At 39.2% G+C, this 19601-nt stretch overlaps 1 protein-coding gene across 47 annotated transcripts in view, besides 1 other annotated feature; it reads left to right on the forward strand.

The window, feature by feature from the left end:
- RIMS2 (regulating synaptic membrane exocytosis 2) overlaps nucleotides 1-19601 on the forward strand; it is a 755485-nt gene that overhangs the window by 97214 nt on the left and 638670 nt on the right. The gene's annotated exons all lie outside the window — the stretch shown is intronic.
- Nucleotides 10290-10880: an enhancer, noted in NCBI's record as "NANOG-H3K27ac-H3K4me1 hESC enhancer chr8:104620341-104620931 (GRCh37/hg19 assembly coordinates)". NCBI's record gives its function as "activates a minimal SCP1, AML or CMV promoter by ChIP-STARR-seq in naive H9 embryonic stem cells {active_cell/tissue: H9 hESC(naive)}" and the evidence as "EXISTENCE:reporter gene assay evidence [ECO:0000049][PMID:30033119]".

A 19601-nucleotide genomic window follows, 5' to 3' on the forward strand; every position in this document is an offset into this window, starting at 1 on the left:
TTAAACCGTGGGTCATGAAATCAATTTGGTGTGAATAAAACTATTAATTAAGAACAAAGATGTAAATTGAAAAGAATAGGCTATATCCGATATTGCACTTAAAAGTATTATTTTACGGAATTTTATTTTTAATTATATGCATTTCTATAAGTATATATTATATGTAAATGTCTTTCTTGCTGTGGGTCAAGTTCAAAAAAAGTTTGAATGTAATTGTATGTAAGATATACTTTTTAGCCTTAGCTGCTTTCATAGTTTACTTATTTGGATCAACCACTTTATATGTTTGTGATCAAGTTTAGAAACATTCATAGAAAGCCTTGGAAGAATGGATCTGAACTAAATCAGATTTCCCGTAGAAACCTTTAAATTCCATCACAACTTTTGTATGAGCCCCAGAATAACATTACTGTCTCTGAGGTGCTTAGGTCAACTTAATTTAGTAAAACTACTATAAAAACTGGGATTCCAAAGCAATTCCTGATCATACGGACATTTGAAGCTCTGTTGCAGCTCTTTTGGTCTTGTGCTACATTTAGAAATGAATAGGCTGAGAGACTAAGATGAATGCATTGAAAGATGTCAAGATACTGAAATAAATCCTTATTCATCTTCCTATTCGTAATCTTACAAAAATGGAATTCATTGAGGTAATAATTTTATTTGTCAGGAAAATATGCACTAGGAGATTTTATACTGTGGCAGGATTATAAATTGGGCAGATTCAAGTGGCAGCAAGTGGTTAATGAATTAATAACAAGTAGTGTTAGAAGCAAAACCTTACCTCTATACTCTGTCCTGGCGAAGGACATTATTATTTGTTACTTGCCCAATTGGGGAGTGTTCTTTGACATGATGATATAATGGTTTTCAGTGGCAAGTCTTGATCTCAAAGTCTTCCAAACCAAGAGCATCTCTTCCATAGTTTAAAGTACAGAATTCTGAGGTTTCAACAAATACTTGTTCCAAAAGTAAATAGGAGATAGAGCTTCTTTTAAAGAAAAGTCCTGGCTTTGCTGACAGGTAGTTCTATGATCTGCTTCTGTCTATAAGGGGGATGACCAAGATAGATAGGATCTTTATTTTTTTTTTTACAGTAAGTTATTGTTGTTACCATTGATGTATCTGTTAGCTAAAACATATTGATCTTTCTATTAACCCAGAAGATCTACTCCTACTGCCCTCAACTTTGAATATTTTCTCCTCAATTTTTGCCAAGAGCTAGGGAGAGACAGCTATTAGGCAAAAGTTGTCTGAAAGCCATATTAAAACTCTTCTCCTTCCTCTTTTTTTCTTCTTAAGAACAACAATAACACTACTGCTACTACTTACAGTTGTACAGCACTTAATATATGAACCAGGACCTTTCATCTGTATTTGGATTTTATTCAAATACAAATGAATATTTGTATTTGTGAAATAGATACTGTTTTTATTCTCCGTTTTTACAAGTGGGGAAATTCAGGCTCTGAGAGGGAAGGGAACTGTCCAAGGTATCACAAGTAGTTAGTGATGAAATCAGCATACGAATCTAGTATGTTTGACTCCAGAGTTTGTATTGTTTTTATTATATATAATGTATATTTTAATATATAAATAAATATATATGTGTATATATATATTTTTTTTCTTTGAGACAAGATCTCACTCTGTTGCCCTGATTGTCATGCAGGGGTGTGATCTCTGCTCAATGCAACCCTCACCTCCTGGGCTCAGGTGATCCTCCCACCTCAGCCTCCAGAGTAGCAGGGACTATAGCTGCACACCACCATGCCTGGCTAATTAATTAATTTTTTTTGTTTTGTTTTGTAGAGACGAGACCTCACTATACTACCCAGGCTGGTCTTGAACTTCTAGGCTCAAGTGATCCTCTTGCCTTGGCCTCTGAAGTGCTGGGATTACAGGCATGAGCCACTGTACCTGGTCATTTTTTTAATTTTAATTTTTGTGCATACATAGTAAATATATATAGGGTACATGAGATATTTTGATAAAGCATGCAATGAATAGTAATCACATCATGGAAAATAGGTATCTGTTCCTTCAAGCCTTTATCCTTTGTGTTACAAACCATCCAATTATACTCTTGTAGTTATTTAAAAATTTACAATCAAATTATTTTGACTATAGTCACCCTGTTGTGCTATCAAATATGGTCTTACTCATTCTTTCAAACTATTTTTTGTGTCCATTAATCATCCTCATCTCCGCTAACCCCTCACTACCCTTATCAGCCTTTGATAACCCTCCTTCTACTCTCTATCTCCCACAAATTTTTACTTCCCACAAATTTTTACATCCCACAAATGAGTGAGAACATACAATGTTTGTCTTTCCGTGCCTGTCTTACCCCCAGTTGCATCCATGTTGTTGCAGATGACAGAATCTCATTCTTTTAGTGGCTGAGTAGTACTCCATTGTGTATAAATGCTACATTTTCTTTCTTTCTTTCTTTCTTTTTTCTGAGACAGAGTCTCAGTCTGTCACCCAGGCTGGAGTGCAGTGGTGCAATCTTGGCTCACTGTAACCTCTGCCTCCTGGGTTCGAGCAATTATCATGCCTCAGCATCCTGAGTAGCTGGGATTACAGGCATGTGCCACCATGCCTCGCTAATTTTTTGTATTTTTAGTAGACATGGGGTTTTGCCATATTGGCGAGGCTGGTCTTGAACTCCTGACCTCAAGTGATCCGCATGCCTTGGCCTCCCAAAGTGCTGGGATTACAGGCGTGAGCCACCATGCCTGGCTCACATTTTCTTTATCCATTCATCTGTTGATGGATGCTTAGGTTGCTTGTAAATCTTGTTTGTTGTGAACAGTGCTACAACAAACATAGGAGTGCAGATCTCTCTTCAATATGCTGATTTCCTTGTTTTGGCTGTGTAACCATCAGTGGGAGTGCTGAATCATATGGTAGCTCAACATTTTAGTTTTTTTGAGGAACCTGGAAACTGTTCTCCATAGTGGTTGTACTAATTTACATTCTCACCCACAGTGTATGAGGGTTCCCTTTTTTTTCACATCCTCTCCAACATTTGTTATTGCCTGCCTTTTGGATATAAGCCATTTTAACTGTGGTGAGAGATCCCATTGTAGTTTTGATTTGTATTTCTCTGATGAATTAATCAATGAATCAGTGATGTTGAGCACCTTTTTATAAGCCTGTTTGTCATTTGTATGTCTTCTTTTGAGAAATGTCTATTCATATCTGCTGCCTATTTTTTAATGGATTATTAGATTCTTTTCCTATAGCGTTGTTTGAGCTCCTTATATATTCTGGGTATTAACCACTTGTCAGATGCATAGTTTGCAAAATATTTTCTCCCATTCTGTGGGTTGTTGATTCAATTTGTTTATTGTATCCTTTGCTATACAGAAGCTTTTTAACATGATGTGATCCCATTTGTCCATTTTTGCTTTGGTTGCCCATGCTTATGGTGCATTGTTGAAGTCTCCAGCTATTATTTTATTTGGGCCTCTCTCTCTCTTTAGCTCCAATAATGTTACCTTTGTATATCTGGGTGTTCCAGTGTTGGTTGCGTATATATTTACAATAATTATATCCTGTTGCTGGATTGAACACTTTATCATATAATGACCTTCTTTGTGTCTTCTTACAGTTTTTATCTTGAAATCTATTTTGTCTGATATAAATATAGTGACTTCTCCTCTTTTTTGGTTTCCATTGGCATGGAATATCTTTTTTCATCCCTTTATTTTCAGTCTATATGCATATATATAGGTGAAGTGTGTTTCTTGTAGGCAACAGATCATGGAGTTTTTTTTTCATCTATTCAGCCACTCTGTGTCTTTTGATTGGAAAGTTTAGTCCATTTATATTGTTATTATTGATGAGGACTTACTCCTGAAATTTTGTTATTTATTTTCTGGTTGTTTAGGGGGTCTTCTCTTTCCTGTCTTTTTTAGTGAAAGTGATTTCCTCTGGTTTTATGATTTACTTTTTGCTTTTTATTTTTTATGTATCTGTTCTGTTTTTTTCAATTTGAGGTTACTGTGAGGCTTGCAAAGACTTTCTTATAACCTATTATTTTAAACTCATGACAGCTTAACACTGATAGCATAAACAAACAAACTTGACAAAATCTAATAAAAATTCTAGCCTTTAACTTCATCTTCATGCTTTTTTATTTTTATTATTTATTTATTTTTTTGAGATGGTGTCTCACTCTTATTGCCCAGGCTGGAGGGCTGGAGTGCAGTGGCATGATTCTGGCTCACTGCCACCTCTGCCTCCCAGGTTCAAGCAATTCTCCTGCCTCAGCCTCCTGAGTAGCTGGGACTACAGGTGCATGCCACCATGCCTGGCTAATTTTTTTGGTATATTTAGTAGAGACGGGGTTTCACCATGTTAGCCAGGATGGTCTCAATCTCCTGACCTCATGATCCGCCCGCCTCGGCCTCCCAAAGTACTGGGATTACAGGCATGAGCCACCACGCCTGATCCATGCTTTTTTAAAGTTATGACTTTTATTTTTAGGTTTGGGGTTACGTGTGCAGGTTTTTATATAGGTAAACTGCATGTCATGGGGGTTTGTTGTACAGATTATTTCATCACCTAGGTAATAAGCATAGTACTTAATAGGTATTTTTTTTCCTGATCCCATCCCTCCTCCCACTCTTCACCCTCAAAGAGGCTCCAGCGTCTTTTGTTCCCCTCCTAGTATCCATGTATTCTCATTGTTTAGCTCCCACTTACAAGTGAGAACATGCAGTATTTGGCTTTCTGTTCTTGCATTAGTTTGCTTAGGAAAGTGGCTTTCAGCTCCATCCATATTGCTGCAAAGGATGTGAACTCCTTTTTTATGGCTGGATTGTATTTCATGGTGTATATGTTCTACACTTTCTTCATACAGTGTATCATTGATGCACATTTGGGTTGAATCCATGTCTTTGCTACTGTGAATAGTGCTGCAATGACCATACACAAGTATGTCTCTCTATGGTAGAGGAATTTATATTAATTCTTTTGGGCATATACTCATTAATGGGATTGCTGGGTCAAATGGTAATTCTGTTTTATGTTATTTGTGTAATTGTCACACTGCTTTCCACAATGGCTGAAATAATTTACAGTCCCACCAACAATGTATAAGTGTTTCCTTTTCTTAGCAGCCTTGCTAGCATCTGTTATTTTTTGACTTTTTTATTTTTATTTTTTATTTTTTTATTATACTTTAAGTTTTAGGGTACATGTGCACATTGTGCAGGTTAGTTACATATGTATACATGTGCCATGCTGGTGCACTGCACCCACTAACTCGTCATCTAGCATTAGGTATATCTCCCAGTGCTATCCCTCCCCCCTCCCCCCACCCCAACACAGTCCCCAGAGTGTGATATTCCCCTTCCTGTGTCCATGTGATCTCATTGTTCAATTCCCACCTATGAGTGAGCATATGCGGTGTTTGGTTTTTTGTTCTTGCGATAGTTTACTGAGAATGATGCTTTCCAATTTCATCCATGTCCCTACAAAGGACATGAACTCATCATGTTTTATGGCTGCATAGTATTCCATGGTGTATATGTGCCACATTTTCTTAATCCAGTCTATCATTGTTGGGCATTTGGGTTGGTTCCAAGTCTTTGCTATTGTGAATAATGCCACAATAAACATACGTGTGCATGTGTCTTTATAGCAGCATGATTTAGAGTTCTTTGGGTATATACCCAGTAATGGGATGGCTGGGTCAAGTGGTATTTCTAGTTCTGGATCCCTGATGAATCGCCACATTGACTTCCACAATGGTTGAACTAGTTTACAGTCCCACCAACAGTGTAAAAGTGTTCCTATTTCTCCACATCCTCTCCAGCACCTGTTGTTTCCTGACTTTTTAATGATTGCCATTCTAACTGGTGTGAGATGGTATCTCATTGTGGTTTTGATTTGCATTTCTCTGATGGCCAGTGATGATGAGCATTTTTTCATGTGTTTTTTGGCTGCATAAATGTCTTCTTTTGAGAAGTGTCTGTTCATGTCCTTCGCCCACTTTTTGATGGGGTTGTTTGTTTTTTTCTTGTAAATCTGTTTGAGTTCATTGTAGATTCTGGATATTAGCCCTTTGTCAGATGAGTAGGTTGCGAAAATTTTCTCCCATTTTGTAGGTTGCCTGTTCACTCTGATGGTAGTTTCTTTTGCTGTGCAGAAGCTCTTTAGTTTAATTAGATCCCATTTGTCTATTTTGTCTTTTGTTGCCATTGCTTTTGGTGTTTTAGACATGAAGTCCTTGCCCATGCCTATGTCCTGAATGGTAATGCCTAGGTTTTCTTCTAGGGTTTTTCTGGTTTTAGGTCTAACGTTTAAGTCTTTAATCCATCTTGAATTAATTTTTGTATAAGGTGTAAGGAAGGGATCCAGTTTCAGCTTTCTACATATGGCTAGCCCGTTTTCCCAGCACCATTTATTAAATAGAGAATCCTTTCCCCATTGCTTGTTTTTGTCAGGTTTGTCAAAGATCAGATAGTTGTTGATATGCGGCGTTATTTCTGAGGGCTCTGTTCTGTTCCATTGATCTATATCTCTGTTTTGGTACCAGTACCATGCTGTTTTGGTTACTATAGCCTTGTAGTATAGTTTGAAGTCAGGTAGTGTGATGCCTCCAGCTTTGTTCTTTTGGCTTAGGATTGACTTGGCAACGCGGGCTCTTTTTTGGTTCCATATGAACTTTAAAGTAGTTTTTTCCAATTCTGTGAAGAAAGGCATTGGTAGCTTGATGGGGATGGCATTCAATCTGTAAATTACCTTGGGCAGTATGGCCATTTTCACGATATTGATTCTTCCTACCCATGAGCATGGAATGTTCTTCCATTTGTTTGTATCCTCTTTTATTTCGTTGAGCAGTGGTTTGTAGTTCTCCTTGAAGAGGTCCTTCACATCCCTTGTAAGTTGGATTCCTAGGTATTTTATTCTCTTTGAAGCAAGTGTGAATGGGAGTTCACTCATGATTTGGCTCTCTGTTTGTCTGTTGTTGGTGTATAAGAATGCTTGTGATTTTTGTACATTGATTTTGTATCCTGAGACTTTGCTGAAGTTGCTTATCAGCTTAAGGAGATTTTGGGCTGAGACAATGGGGTTTTCTAGATATACAATCATGTCATCTGCAAACAGGGACAATTTGACTTCCTCTTTTCCTAATTGAATACCCTTTATTTCCTTCTCCTGCCTAATTGCCCTGGCCAGAACTTCCAACACTATGTTGAATAGGAGTGGTGAGAGAGGGCATCCCTGTCTTGTGCCAGTTTTCAAAGGGAATGCTTCCAGTTTTTGCCCATTCAGTATGATATTGGCTGTGGGTTTGTCATAGATAGCTCTTCTTATTTTGAGATACATCCCATCAATACCTAATTTATTAAGAGTTTTTAGCATGAAGAGTTGTTGAATTTTGTCAAAGGCTTTTTCTGCATCTATTGAGATAATCATGTGGTTTTTGTCTTTGGCTCTGTTTGTATGCTGGATTACATTTATTGATTTGCGTATATTGAACCAGCCTTGCATCCCAGGGATGAAGCCCACTTGATCATGGTGGATAAGCTTTTTGATGTGCTGCTGGATTCGTTTTGCCAGTATTTTATTGAGGATTTTTGCATCAATATTCATCAAGGGTATTGGTCTAAAATTCTCTTTTTTGCTTGTGTCTCTGCCCGGCTTTGGTATCAGGATGATGCTGGCCTCATAAAAAGAGTTAGGGAGGATTCCCTCTTTTTCTATTGATTGGAATAGTTTCAGAAGGAATGGTACCAGTTCCTCCTTGTACCTCTGGTAGAATTCAGCTGTGAATCCATCTGGTCCTGGACTCTTTTTGGTTGGTAAACTATTGAGTATTGCCACAATTTCTGATCCTGTTATTGATCTGTTCAGAGATTCAACTTCTTCCTGGTTTAGTCTTGGGAGAGTGTATGTGTCGAGGAATTTATCCATTTCTGCTAGATTTTCTAGTTTATTTGCATAGAGGTGTTTGTAGTATTCTCTGATGGTAGTTTGTATTTCTGTCGGATTGGTGGTGATATCCCCTTTATCATTTTTTATTGCGTCTATTTGATTCTTCTCTCTTTTTTTCTTTATTAGTCTTGCTAGCAGTCTATCAATTTTGTTGATCCTTTCAAAAAACCAGCTCCTGGATTAATTAATTTTTTGAAGGGTTTTTTGTGTCTCTATTTCCTTCAGTTCTGCTCTGATTTTAGTTATTTCTTGCCTTCTGCTAGCTTTTGAATGTGTTTGCTCTTGCTTTTCTAGTTCTTTTACTTGTGATGTTAGGGTGTCAATTTTGGATCTTTCCTGCTTTCTCTTGTGGGCATTTAGTGCTATAAATTTCCCTCTACACACTGCTTTGAATGCGTCCCAGAGATTCTGGTATGTTGTGTCTTTGTTCTCGTTGGTTTCAAAGAACATCTTTATTTCTGCCTTCATTTCGTTATGTACCCAGTAGTCATTCAGGAGCAGGTTGTTCAGTTTCCATGTAGTTGAGCAGTTTTGAGTGAGATTCTTAATCCTGAGTTCTAGTTTGATTGCACTGTGGTCTGAGAGATAGTTTGTTATAATCTCTGTTCTTTTACATTTGCTGAGGAGAGCTTTACTTCCAAGTATGTGGTCAATTTTGGAATAAGTGTGGTGTGGTGCTGAAAAAAATGTATATTCTGTTGATTTGTGGTGGAGAGTTCTGTAGATGTCTATTAGGTCTGCTTGGTGCAGAGCTGGGTTCAATTCCTGGGTATCCCTGTTGACTTTCTGTCTCATTGATCTGTCTAATATTGACAGTGGGGTGTTAAAGTCTCCCATTATTAATGTGTGGGAGTCTAAGTCTCTTTGTAGGTCACTCAGGACTTGCTCTATGAATCTGGGTGCTCCTATATTGGGTGCATATATATTTAGGATAGTTAGCTCTTCTTGTTGAATTGATCCCTTTACCATTATATAATGGCCTTCTTTGTCTCTTTTGATCTTTGTTGGTTTAAAGTCTGTTTTATCAGAGACTAGGATTGCAACCCCTGCCTTTTTTTGTTTTCCATTTGCTTGGTAGATCTTCCTCCATCCTTTTATTTTGAGCCTATGTGTGTCTCTGCACGTGAGATGGGTTTCCTGAATACAGCACACTGATGAGTCTTGACTCTTTATCCAATTTGCCAGTCTGTGTCTTTTAATTGGAGCATTTAGTCCATTTACATTTAAAGTTAATATTGTTATGTGTGAATCTGATCTTGTCGTTATGATGTTAGCTGGTTATTTTGCTCGTTAGTTGATGCAGTTTCTTCCTAGTCTCGATGGTCTTTACATTTTGGCATGATTTTGCAGTGGCTGGTGCCGGTTGTTCCTTTCCATGTGTAGTGCTTCCTTCAGGAGCTCTTTTAGGGCAGGCCTCGTGGTGACAAAATCTCTCAGCGTTTGCTTGTCTGTGAAGTATTTTATTTCTCCTTCACTTATGAAGCTTAGTTTGGCTGGATATGAAATTCTGGGATGAAAATTCTTTTCTTTAAGAATGTTGAATATTGGCCCCCACTCTCTTCTGGCTTGTAGGGTTTCTGCTGAGAGATCCGCTGTTAGTCTGATGGGCTTCCCTTTGAGGGTAACCCGACCTTTCTCTCTGGCTGCCCTTAACATTTTTTCCTTCATTTCTACTTTGGTGAATCTGACAATTGTGTTCTTGGAGTTGCTCTTCTTGAGGAGTATCTTTGTGTCGTTCTCTGTTTTTCCTGAATCTGAACGTTGGCCTGCCTTGCTAGATCGGGGAAATTCTCCTGGATAATATCCTGCAGAGTGTTTTCCAACTTGGTTCCATTCTCCCCATCACTTTCAGGTACACCAATCAGACGTAGATTTGGTCTTTTCACATAGTCCCATATTTCTTGGAGGCTTTGCTCATTTCTTTTTATTCTTTTTTCTCTAAACTTCCCTTCTCACTTCATTTCATTCATTTCATCTTCCATTGCTGATACCCTTTCTTCCAGTTGATCGCATCGGCTCCTGAGGCTTCTGCATTCTTCACGTAGTTCTCGAGCCTTGGTTTTCAGCTCCATCAGCTCCTTTAAGCACTTCTCTGTATTGGTTATTCTAGTTATACATTCTTCTAAATTTTTTTCAAAGTTTTCAACTTCTTTGCCTTTGGTCTGAATGTCCTCCCATAGCTCAGAGTAATTTGATCGTCTGAAGCCTTCTTCTCTCAGCTCGTCAAAGTCATTCTCCATCCAGCTTTGTTCCGTTGCTGGTGAGGAACTGCATTCCTTTGGAGGAGGAGAGGCGCTCTGCTTTTTAATTTCCAGTTTTTCTGTTCTGTTTTTTCCCCATCTTTGTGGTTTTATCTACTTTTGGTCTTTGATGATGGTGATGTACAGATGGGTTTTTGGTGTGGATGTCCTTTCTGTTTGTTAGTTTTCCTTCTAACAGACAGGACCCTCAGCTGCAGGTCTGTTGGAGTACTGGGCCCTGTGAGGTGTCAATCTGCCCCTGCTGGGGGGTGCCTCCCAGTTAGGCTGCTCGGGGGTCAGGGACCCACTTGAGGAGGCAGTCTGCCCGTTCTCAGATCTCCAGCTGCGTACTGGGAGAACCACTGCTCTCTTCAAAGCTGTCAGACAGGGACATTTAAGTCTGCAGAGGTTACTGCTGTCTTTTTGTTTGTCTGTGCCCTGCCCCCAGAGGTGGAGCCTACAGAGGCAGGCAGGCCTCCTTGAGCTGTGGTGGGCTCCACCCAGTTCGAGCTTCCCGCTGCTTTGTTTACCTAAGCAAGCCTGGGCAATGGTGGGCGCCCCTCCCCCAGCCTCGCTGCCGCCTTGCAGTTTGATCTCAGACTGCTGTGCTAGCAATCAGCGAGACTCCGTGGGCGTAGGACCCTCTGAGCCATGTGCAGGATATAATCTCATGGTGCGCCGTTTTTTAAGCCCTTCAGAAAAGCGCAGTATTCGGGTGGGAGTGACCCGATTTTCCAGGTGCCGTCCGTCACCCCTTTCTTTGACTGGGAAAGGGAACTCCCTGATCCGTTGCACTTCCCAAGTGAGGCAATGCCTCGCCCTGCTTTGGCTCGCGCACGGTGCACGCACCCACTGACCTGCGCCCACTGTCTGGCACTCCCTAGTGAGATGAACCTGGTACCTCAGATGGAAATGCAGAAATCACCCTTCTTCTGCGTTGCTCACGCTGGGAGCTGTAGACCGGAGCTGTTCCTATTCGGCCATCTTGGCTCCTCCCTCCCATTTTTTGACTTTTTAATAATATCTATCTGACTGGTGTGAGATGGTATCTCATTTTGGTTTTGATTTGCGTTTTTCTAATGATTAGTGATGTTGAGCATTTTTTCATATGCTTGTTGGCCACATGTATGTCTTGTTTTGAAAAGTGCCGGTTCATGTCTTTTACCCACTTTTTAATGGAATTGTTTGTTTTTTGCTTGTAGATTTGTCTAAGTTTTTTATAGGTGCTGAATATTAGAGCTTCGTTGGATGTATAGTTTGGAAATATTTTCTCCCATTCTGTAGGTTGTCTGTTCACTTTGTTGATAATTTCTTTTGCTGTACAGAACCTCTTTAGTTTAATTAAGTTCTATTTGCCAATGTTTGTTTTTGTTGCAATTGCTGTTGGCATCTTTGTCATGAAGTCTTGCTAGGTCCTATATTAAGAATGGTCTTTCCTAGACTATCTTCCAGAGTTTTATAGTTTCAGGCTTTACATTTGACTCTTTAATCCATCTTGAGTTCCTGTTTGGATATGGTATAAAGAAGGGGTCCAGCTTCAATTTTCTGCAAACACTATAGTCAGTTATCCCAGCACTCTTTATTAATTAGGAAGTCCTTTATTGCTTGTTTTTGTCAGCTTTGTCCAAGATCAGATGGTTGTAGGTGTGTGGCATTATCTCTGTTCCATTGGCCTATGTGTCTTTGTAACCGTTCCATGCTGTTTGATTATGGTAGCCTTGTATAGTTTGAAGTTGGGTAATGTGTTGCTTTCAGTTTTGTTCTTTCTGCTTAGGATTGCCGTGGCTATTTCTGCTCTTTTTTGCTTCTGTATGAATTTTTAAATAGTTTTTTTCTAATTCTGTGAAGTATGTCATTGGTAGTTTGATAAGAATAGCAGTGAATCTGTAAATTGCTTTGGACAGTATAGCCATTTTAATGATATTGATTATTCCCATCCATGAGTACGGAATGCCTTTCTATTTGGTTATGTCATCTCTGATTTCTTTGAGTGGTGTTTTGTAATTCTCATTGTAGAGATCTTTCACTTCCTTCATTAGCTGTATTCCTAGGCATTTTCTTCATTTTGTGGCAGTTGCGAATGGAACTGCATTCTTAATTTGGCTCTCTGCTTGGACATTGTTGGTGTATAGGAATGCCACTGGTTTTTGTACATTGATTTTGTATTCTGAAACCTTGCTGAAGTTGTTTATCAGACCAAGGTGCTTTTGGGGATAGAGTGGGAGGTTTTATAGATATAGAACTATGTCATATGCAAAGGGGATAGTTTGACTTTCTGTCTTCCTATTTGGATGCCTTTTATTTCTTTTTCATGTCTCATTGCTCTGGTCAGGACTTCCAATACTTTGTTGAATAGGAGTGGTGATAGAGGGCATCCCTGTCTTATTCTGATTTTCAAGGGGAATGCCTCCAGCTTTTGCTCATTCAGTATGACGTTGGCTGTGGTTTTGTCATAGATGGTTCTTATTATTTTGACGTATGTTCCTTCAGTGCCTACTTTATTGCAGGTTTTTAACATGAAGGGATGTTGAATTTTATCAAAAACCTTTCCTGCCTCTATTGCGATAATGATGTGCTTTGTTTATAGTCCTGTTTATGTGATGAATCATATTGATTGATTTGCATTTGTATAGCCAGTCTTGCATCCCACGGCTAAAACCAATTTGATTGTGGTGGAGTAGCTTTTGGATGTGCTGCTGGATTTGATTTGCTAATATTTTGTTGAAGAGTTTTACATCTATGTACATCAAAGATATTGGCTGGAAATTTTCTTTTGTCATGTGTCTGCCATGTTTTGGTATCAGGATAATGCTGGCCTCATAGAATGAGTTCGAGAGGAGTTCATTCACAATTTTCGGGAATAGTTTCAATAGGAATGGTATCAACTCTTTTCTATACATCTGGTAGAATTCAGGCGTGAATCCTTCTGGGCCTGGGCTTCTTTGAGCTGGTAGGATTTTTATTACTGATTCAATTATCGAACTCATTATCGGCCTGTTCAGGGATTCAATTTCTTCCTGGTTCAGTCTTGGGAGGTTGTATGTTTTTAGGAATTTATTCATTTCTTCTAGATTTTCTAGTTTGTGTGCATAGAGGTGTTTGTAGTAGTAGTCCCTGAGGGTTTTTTGTTTTGTTTTGTTTTGTATTTCTATGGGGTTAGTGGTCATTTACCCTTTGTCATTTCTAATTGTGTTTATTTCATTCCCCTGTTTTAAAACTTTTTGTTGTTTCTCTTTATGTCTTATTATACTATGTCTTGATAGATTATTGTTATGATTATTATTTTCATGGTTCATCACTTAGTCTTTCTTCTTAAGAGGAGTTGAGATACAGCAGTTGCAGTGTTTTAATATTTTGTTTTTTTCTGCATGCTTAGTGAGTTTTGTGTTTTCAGATGATTTCTTCTTGCCCATTAACATTTGTGTTTTTCAGATTCAAGAAAACCCTTTAGCATTTCTTATAGGATAGGTCTAGTGTTGATGCATCCCTCAGCCTTTGTTTGTGTTGGGAGGAATTTTTTTTTTTTTGTCAGATGTAGTATTTTAGGGTAAACGTTTTTTCCTTTAGCTATTTAAATATGTCATGCCACTCTCTCCTGGCCTGTGAAAAGTCAGCCACCAGACATATTGGAGCTACATTGTATGTTATTTGTTACTTTTTTTTTTCCTGCTTTTAGGATCCTTTCTTTATCCTTTAGCTGTGGGAGTTTGCTTATTTAAATGCCTTGACATCGTCTTCTTTGGGTTAAATCTGCTTGGTGTTCTATAGCCTTCTTGTACTTGAATGCTCATATCTTTCTCTAAGTTTGGGTAGTTCTCTGATATTATCCTTTTCAATAAACTTTCTATCTATATCTCTTTCTCTACCTCTTCTTTAAGGCCAATGATTCTTAGATTTGCCCTTTTCAGTCTATTTTCTAGATCTTGTAGGCATACTTCATTGTTTTTTATTTTTTTTCTCTTTTGTCTTCTCTGAGCATGTATTTTCAAATAGCTGTCTTCAAGGTCAGTCATTCTCTTTTCTGCCTGATCAGTTCTGCTACTGAGAGACTCTAATGCATTCTTCAGCATGTCAGTTGCATTTTTGTAACTCTAGAATTTCTGCTTGATTTTTTAAAATTATTTTAATCTCTTTGTTGAATTTATCTGATAGAATTTTGAATTCCTTCCCTGTGTTATCTTGAATTTCTTTGAGTTTTCTTAAAATAGCTATATTGAATTCTCTGTCTGACAGGTCACATGTCTCTCTATTTTCAGGATTGGGCCCTGGTGCCTTATTTAGCTTGTTTGGTGAGGTTATGTTTTTCTGGATGGTTTTGATGCTTGTAGATGTTTGTTGGTCTCTGGGCATTGAAGAGTTAGGTATTTATTGTAGTCTTCACAGTCTGGGCTTGTTTCTACCTGTCTTTCTTGAGAAGGTGTTTCAGGTATTTGAATGGACATGGGTCTTAGGCCCAATACCACCGTGGTTCTTGCAGACTCATACAGGTACCACTTTGGTGGCCTTGTATAACATCTGGAAGAATTCTCTGGATTACTAGACAGAGACTCTTGTTCCTTTTCTTTTTTTCCCCCCTCTAGACGGAATCTTGTGCTGTCACCCAGGCTGGAGTGCAATGGTGCCATCTTGGCTCCCTGCAACCTCCGCCTACTGGGTTCAAGCAATTTTCCTGCCTCAGCCTCTCAAGTGGCTGGGATTACAGGTGCGTGCCACCATGCCTGGCTGATTTTTTAGTAGAGACAGGGTTTCACAATGTTGGCCAGGCTGGTCTCGAACTCCTGACCTCATGATCCGCCTGCCTCAGCCTCCAAAGTGCTGGGATTACAGGCGTGAGCCACTGCACCTGGCCAAGACTCTTGTTCTTTTACCTTACTTTCTTCCAGACAAATGGAGTCTCTCTCTGTGCTGAGCCACCTGGAACTGGGTTGTGTGTTGATGCAAGCACTCTTGTGGCTACGACCACTGATACTGCTTTGGGTCAGACCTGAAGCCAACAGAGCATTGGGTCTTACTTAAGTCCCTGGTTACCACCTATGTGTACTCAAACCCCTAGGGCTCTACAATTAGCAGATGGTAAAGGCAGACAGGTTTGGGTCCTTTCCTTCAGGGTGGTGCATTTTCCCAGGCCCTGGTTGAGTCCAGAGATGCTTTCTTGGAGCTAGGATTTGGAGTCAAAAACCTTAGGAATTTGTCTGATGTTGTATTCTACTGTGGCTAAGGTGACACTTAAACCACAATATAAAGTCCTTTTCACTCTCCCATCTCCCTTCAATGGGCAGAGGAGTCTATCCCTGTGGGCACACTAACCCTAGCCCACTGAGGTGGTAGGGAAGATTCTGCCAGGCCATCACTGATGTTCACTTAACGCCCAAGGGCTCTTCCATAAAATTGTGGTGAATGCTTCCATGTGTGAGACTCACCCTTCAGGGCAGTGGGCTCCCCTCTGGCCTAGGGCAGGTCCAGAAATTCTCTCCAAGAGCCTAAGCCTGGGCTCAGGGACCTCATGAACCTACTTATTGCTCTACCCCACTGTGCCTGGACTGGTACCTAAGATGCAAGACATAGTTTCCTTTAGGTCTCCCTCTAATTTTATCAAACAGAAGTATTTCACTATAGCCACCGCAGCTGGGAATGTCCTATAGTCAGTGCGTCTCAGACCCCAAGGCCCATGGCATACTACCTGGGTATCACTGCTGGTTATTCCGGGACCAAGGGCTCCTTAAGAGTCAGCACGTGATTAATCCTGCCAAAGCTAGTACTGGATTCTTCCTTCAAGACACACTCATGGTCCTGGGTGTGTCTAGAAATGTTGCCTGGGAGCTAGGGTCAGGAATGGGGGCCTCATGACTCTTTTCAGTGCCCTGTCCTGCTGTGGCTGAGTAGGTATGTATTCAAGGTTCAAGACAAATTTCTTTTTACTTTTCTCTCTCTGCCTGTTAAGCATCAGGAAGGAAACACTTTTATTACCGTGTTGGGTGTTCAGGAAGGGATGGTGCAAGCACTACTTTAACCACCCCGGCTGGTGTCTCCATAGGTCACATGCCTCCTTAGTCCTCTGGCTCTGAGCCCATCCCAGCACTAGAAGTTGCCTAGGAATTGCAGTCCTTGTGTCCTAGACTGTCTTTTCAGCTTATTTAGGATCCTAGAGTACTTCTGCCTGTGGTAAGTCTTGCCAAGAAACTTGAGTTCTGACCACTGGGTTGGGCAATTTCCCCCTGGCCAGGTCTGGTCCGTTTGCTCTCTCCATGCATGGGCACTGGCGGAGCCCAGCACAGCTTTGCTCTCCACTATGATGGGGCAATACTGAGATCTGTGTAATGTCCCCCAGTCACTATGCTCTCCCTTCCCTAAGTGCACAGACTCTGTGCTGCATGGCCTTTGCTAGTGCATTGGAGAGGTGTGGCACTGGCTATTTAAGACTGTCTCTTTGATCCTTCTCATGCCCCTTTTAATGATTCAAAGTTAAAGCCAGTTACTGTGATTGCTCACTAGATTTTTGGTTATTGAGATAGTGCTTTTGTGTGTGCCGATCATTGTTGGAATTTGGTATTCATGCAGGGCAACAAATGGCATAGTCTTCTGTTCTGCCATCTTGCTCCGCCTTCCTCCAGAGCTTGTATTCTCAAATCGTGGTGAGTACAGCAACCCTCCTTTCTACTCAAGTTTCCAAAATTAATCTTTATAATGAAAGTGATCATCACAAAGGAGTATATCTTAGTATATCTTTCTACCTCCATAAAAAGATTGAATATTATGCTTGTAACAGTTGCAGAAGTCGCATGAAATTAACAGCTATGTCATATTTCTATTAATACATGTTTCGGGACAGTGCTGTTGAGGACATTACCTAATATGATGTTCACTGCCCTTTATATGAAGATTTTTGTGACACATTTCTAACACATATTAAACTTTTGACTTTACAGTTGAATTGGCATTTATTGGAGAAATTTCTATCTCATTACATTTCTCTGTTTCACATCCAATGCTAATTAGCTTTTATCTTTTAATTATGTTTATATTATATTATTTGCTCTTACTGGCTATAATTAGCATAATAAAGATCTTTTTAAAATGTACCCTTTACTGCTCTAAAATTGACCACATAATTGGACATAAAACAATCCTCAGCAAATGTAAAAGAACTGAAATAATACCAAGCACACTGTCAGACCATAGCGCAATAAAAATAGAAGTCAAGACTATGAAAATCGCTCAAAACCTACATGGAAATTAAACAACATGCTCCTTCATGACTTCTGGGTAAATAATGAAATTAAGGCAGAAATCAGGAAGTTCTTTGAAAATAATGAGAACAAAGATACAACTTACCAGAGTCTCTGAGACACAGCTAAGACAGTGTTAAAAGGGAAATTCATAGCACTAAATGCCGACATCAAAAAGTTAGAAAGATCTCACATTAACAACCTAATTTCACAACTGAAAGAATTAGAGAAGCAAGAACAAATCAACACCAAAGCTAGCAGAAGATGAGAAATAACAAAAATTAGAGATGAATTGAGGAAGAAAAGCAAGAGACAAAAAATCATTCAAAAGATCAACAAATTCAGGAGTTGATTTTTAAAAAGTTAATAAAATAGGCCACTAGCTAGACTAATAAGAAAAGAGAGAACATCCAAATAAACACAATTAGAAATGATGAAAGGAATGTTACTACTGACACCACAGAAATAAAAACAACCATCAGAAACTACTACAAACACCTCTATGCACACGAACTAGAACGCTTAGAAGAGATGGATAAATTCCTGGACACATACACCCTCCGAAGACTGAGCCAGGAAGTAATTGATTCCCCAAACAGACCAATAATGAGCTCCAAAATTGAATCAGTAGTAAGTAGCCTGAAAACCAAAAACGCCCAACACCTGATGGATTCACAGCCAAATTCTACCAGATGTCCAAAAAAGATGTGGTACCATTCCTACAGAAACTATTTGAAAAAATCGAGGAGAAGGGACATCTCCCAACTCATTCTATGAGGCCAGCATCATCTTGATACCAAAACCTGGAAGAGACATGATAAAAAAAAGAAAGCTTCAGGCCAAAATTGTTGATGAACATTGATGTAAAAATCAACAAAATACTTGCAAACTGAATCCAGCAGAACAACAGAAGGCTAATCCATCATAATCAGGTAGGCTTCATCCCCAGGATGCCAGTTTGGTTCAATATGTAAAAATCAATAAATATGATTCATCACATAAGCTAAACTGAAGACAAAAAAACACATGATTGTCTCAATAGATGCAGAAAAGGCTTTTGATAAAATTCAACATTTTTTCATGTTACAAACTCTGAATAAACTAGGAAATGAAAGAACATAGTTCAAAATAATAATAGCCACCTGTGACAAACCCACAGCCAACATTATATTGAATGGACAAAAGCTGGAAGCATTCCCCTTGAAGACTGACACAAGGCAAGAATGCCCTCTCTCACCACTTCTATTCAACATAGTTTTGGAAGTCCTAGCCAGAGCAGTCAGGCAAGAGAAAGAAATAATGGGCATCCAGATGGGAAGACAGGAAGTCAAACTATCTCTATTTGCAGACAACATGATTCTATATCTAGAAAACCCCATAGTCTAGGCCCAAAAGCTCCTTCAGCTGATAAACAACTTTAACAAAGTTGCAGGATACAAAGTCATTGTAAAAAAAAATCACTAGTATTTCCATGCACCAACAATAACCAATCTGAGAGCCAAATCGGAAAGGCAATACCATTCACAATTGCCACACAAAAAATAAAATACCTAGGAATACAGATAACTAGGGAGGTAAAAGATCTCTACAATGAGAATTACAAAACTCTGCTCAAAGAAATCAGAGAAGACAAAAACAAATGGAAAAACATCCCATGTTCATGGATAGGAAGAATCGGTATCATTAAAATAGCTATACTCCCCAAAGCAATTTATTAATTTGGTGCTATTCTTACCAAGCCACCAATGATATTCTTCACAAACTAGAAAAATCTATTTTAAAATTCATGTGGAACCAAAAAGCCCAGATAGCGAAGGCAATCCTGAGTAAAAAGAACAAAGCTGGCAGCATCACGTTACCCAACTTCAAACCATACTACAAGGCTACAGTAACCAACCAGCATGGTATGGATGTGAAAAGAGGCACATAGACCAATGAAACAGAATAGAGAGCCTAGAAATAGGGCCCCACATTTATAACCATCTGATCTTCAACAAAACTGACAAAAATGGGGAAAAGAATCCCTATTCAATAAATGGTGCTGGGTTAACTGGCTAGCCATATGCAGAAGATTGAAGCTGGACTCCTTCCTTATGCCATACCCAAAATTCAACTGAAGATGGATTAAAGACTTAAATGTGAAACCCAAAACTATAAAAACCCTGGAAGAAAACCTAGG

This window comes from Homo sapiens, chromosome 8, assembly GCF_000001405.40.
Source record: "Homo sapiens chromosome 8, GRCh38.p14 Primary Assembly".
Classification (NCBI taxonomy): domain Eukaryota; kingdom Metazoa; phylum Chordata; class Mammalia; order Primates; family Hominidae; genus Homo; species Homo sapiens.